This window comes from Homo sapiens, chromosome 7 (genome assembly GCF_000001405.40).
Source record: "Homo sapiens chromosome 7, GRCh38.p14 Primary Assembly".
In the NCBI taxonomy this organism is placed as follows: Eukaryota; Metazoa; Chordata; class Mammalia; order Primates; family Hominidae; genus Homo; species Homo sapiens.
Genome location: NC_000007.14, coordinates 15,011,480 through 15,015,507, shown reverse-complemented (window position 1 = coordinate 15,015,507; position 4,028 = coordinate 15,011,480).

The window sequence follows — 4,028 nt, the reverse complement described above, 5'->3', positions numbered from 1 at the left end:
CTGTTTTTGGAATATAACCCATGCCAGTTTGGGAATATTTTATTACTATTTGTGACCATCAGCTGGTTTGAAAAATGCCTATCTTGTCATCTATCCAGTTTGCAAATGGATAGATGTACACTGAGGCACTTCACTCTGTGCTCTAAGTGTACATATTCTACACTTTGGTGTGTCATTTCAGCTAGTTTTTTGTCAGAGAAACAATGTTTCAAGTTAATTTTCAGAGCCACTAGTAGCCAGAAAAGAAATGAAAAGCACTAATATATATATAATTTATTATATTAATATTTAATGTTGAATATATCTATATAATATGTATATTTGTATATGGGCAGTAGTAATATCTGAGTGAGAGGTGCTGTTGAAGGCAAAAGTGGGTACTTTAATTTTTATTTAAATAGTTTTGTTTTTTATCATTTTAAACAAACACATGATGCTTTTTAAAAACACAAAACTAATCCAAAAATTAAAATAAAATGCCTTTAAAAATAAAGATATTATGATCAGTTGGGAAAAAAAGTTATAGAATATGAATGAAGCAAATAACTCCAATAACTACAGAAACCTTTATTGAATGTTTTCTGAATGCCAGGAAGTATTTAAGCACTTATTTGAGTCGCAAAAAAAAAAAAAAAAAAAGGAAATAAGTATTTTTATCCCATTTGTTTTTCCAGAGAAGGGAGCTGAAAAACAGATAATTTGTCCAATATTTCTTAGCAGTATAAACCACCATGTCATAATGCCTCTCATATTAAAAATTATATTACAATTTGCTCATGACATTATATTAGTTGTATATTCCTTTAAGAGAGAAATTACAGAGGAAAGGTAGGCAGCTTGATAACATTAAACATAATAAACCCTCATGTCAATGTGACTTTGGTGTCCTGAATAATCTTATGGATTTTGGAGTCAGCTAGAAGTGAGCTCACATCCAGGCTTGACCCCTTAGGCTTGGTAGGCTGCAATCTGAGCCTCAGTTTCCACATGTGAAAAATGATCTAGTAATAGGCATCTCTCTTCCCATGTGCCCACTTCCCTTTAGGACCTCATTTCACCCACACCCACCACCACCCTGATTTTAGATACTGTCTTCTTTTTGATGAGGAAGGAAAGACCTGATAAACTCATTCAGATAATACTTTAGTTTCATAATGCCTTCTCTAGAGTATTGGCACTAGTTAAAAAGATCCAACCAGGAGTAAAAATACTTATACCAAAGGCATGGTTTATTTATGAAATATTGTGCCTTCCCTAGAGTATTGACACTATTTAAAAAGATCCAACCAGAAGTTAAAATACTTATACCAAAGGCATGGTTTATTTATGAAATATTGTGGGGATGAGATCCTTAATGCAGCTACACCCTGATTTGTACTCTCTTAATTATTTGCATTTTCTATTTGTTCTGTGGTAAGCAGGTCCCAAAGTTAAAGGAAGCTGAGAGGCTGGAAAAAGAGAATGACAAGTCTAGTTTATGAGAAATAAACATTTAATAGAGACTTATGAATAGCAGCCATAGACTTGGGCAGCGGTGAGATACGACGATCTGCCTCACTATCCCCGAGACTCAGGGCTTATATACTATAGGGAAAGGGATATGTACAGCAATTGCTTAAGGGCTAAATTTATGGTACATACACTAACGTCAAAGTTGTTTTGACCTAAGGGCAGGAATTACAATAAGTAGTACATGCTGTTGCACGAGGAACAAGGGATAGAATAGAAATCTTAGAGGCATTCCTGGAACTGAGGTTAATCAGAAGTCAACATGGTGAGGCAGGGCAAGGTGGCTGACGCCTGTAATCCCAGCATCTTGGGAGGCCGAGGTGGGAGGATCACTTAAGCCCAGGAGTTTGAGACTAGCCTGGACAACACAGGGAGACCCAATCTCTAAAATATTAAAAAATAAGAAGAAGTCAGCATGGCAGATTAACATCCAAGATGGAGTTGCTTTAGCCTCCCCACTACCTAGGACTTAAATGTAGTTTTCCAAATTAGTCATATATGTATAGCACATGCAGAGATTTAGAAATGCTGGGAGACTTTGCAGCACACTTCACATAAACGCAAAGCCTTTCCATAAGGACAAGTTCACGTGGATGACGCAGCCACAAATCAGGCCCCTCAAATTTTTCAGCTGCTTTTTCCTCTAGAGGCTATTTTATGAGGAAAAATTATATATCGAAGACTCCTGTTTCATTTTATATGGTGCCCTTGAATGTGAGGTTTAAATGGCTTATATAACTCAAAGAAAAACCTGCTGTCCTCAATGCAGACTCTGGACTTGAGAAGTAAACAGCTATTAGTCCAAAAGGGACCCATATCGCTTTCCTGGGTAGGATACCTGCTTCCAGACTCCAGGAATCGGAAACTTTCCTTCAGCTATGTTCAGGCTACCACTTGTTAAACACCAAAAACAACGTGTTAAACACCCAGGAAAAAAAAAAAAAAAAAAGTAAGTGGGACCTTCTGTGCAGACAGGGAATTTGGTTGTATGCCCCAGCTGCTTGGTTGGTGCCACAGGGTTTGGCAACTTCCTGAGAACAGATTGTAGGAGAGGAAAGTTTGAATCTGGAAGGGACCCTCCCACACACACGCTTGGGAATCCATCTTTTTAGCTGGCATTTTCAGTGAATATTAACATGACTAAGGGAATAATATCTCGACTTATTAGAAAATGGTAGCCAAATGGGGTAGAGCTAGAGGGTTTTCTGTCCATGAGAATGATTTTGGCTTCACCTAAAAGAAAACTTCAACTCAAAATGTCTCAAATGATTAAGAAAATGTATTATTTCACATTGTAAGGAGCTTGGCAATAAGCCGATTCAAGGGTGGAATGAATGAGTGAACAACAATGTAATCAAGGACAGAGTTTCTCGCTGGCGTTCCCTTCTGCCATCCTCACAACGTTGGCTTAGATCCTTGGCTTTGTCCCCTGGCTTTGTCCCCTTATGAACACAATATGGCCTTGCACTTCCAAGAGTCGCATCCTCAAACAAAACATCCAATGTTCCAAAGCAGGAGCAGGGGGCGGTGTGTGGGGAGGAGAGTGCGACCTCCTTGTACACTTTTGAAAAGCCTGGGAACCCTCCTGGCAGCTGCTTCAATTGACTTGCCTCTCACCTCTCATGGGCCCGCATCATGTTCCTATTTCTGAATCAGTCATTGGCAAGGAGAATGCCAGTACTGTGACTGGAATAGAATAATTAAGGTCCATCCCTGCCTTATCCTGAGATAATAGCCACATCTCTGGAACCAAAGCAGTTCCATTAGCAAGGAAGTAGATGAATGTCAGCCAATGTTGTCTGGGCAAGGGCCAGTGAGCATGTTTCAGAGACAACCTAGGAAGTTAATTACAAATTATCTCCTCTGCTGTAACTCTGATCTGTTAACCTTGAACCTTGAATGATATCTGGACAACCTTTTTTCATTTAGCTGTGAGCCTTACAGGAAAGGCCTGTGGCACACCTGAGCCAGAAAGGTAAGCGGAAAGTGGCATAACCTGGAACCTTCAATGTCATGGCAGCTGTGCTTAGTAGATCCACAAGAGAAAAAAGAATCTGGGGCTAGGAGTTGGGGCTTCGAGATCCATCTGCTCTTTCTCAAGTGGATATTTCTGTCCCAATTTTCTCCTTGGAGGATCCATTTGCTCATTCAACAGATTTTATATGAACATCTAGCATATAATCAGGCTTAGTTCCAGGCACTAGGGATACATCAGCAAACAAAACAGAAGTCCATGTCCATGGTGCTTATGTTTTAGTTAGGTTAGTGGGGAAAGAAACACTGAAAAACAAAATAAACAAGGAAATCGTTTAGTACATTGAAAGGTTATAAGCCCTATGGGGAAAAAAAAAAAAAAAAGCTGAGAAAGGAGCAGAGGGGACTGGGAAGTGGGCAATTTTAAACACGGTAGTCAAAAACAATGACACTGCGAAATAGCATTTGAGAAAAGTCTTGAAAGAGGTGGGGGAGTGACCCATGCAAATGTAGTTGTGAGAAGAGCATTCCAGGGAGTAGAAACA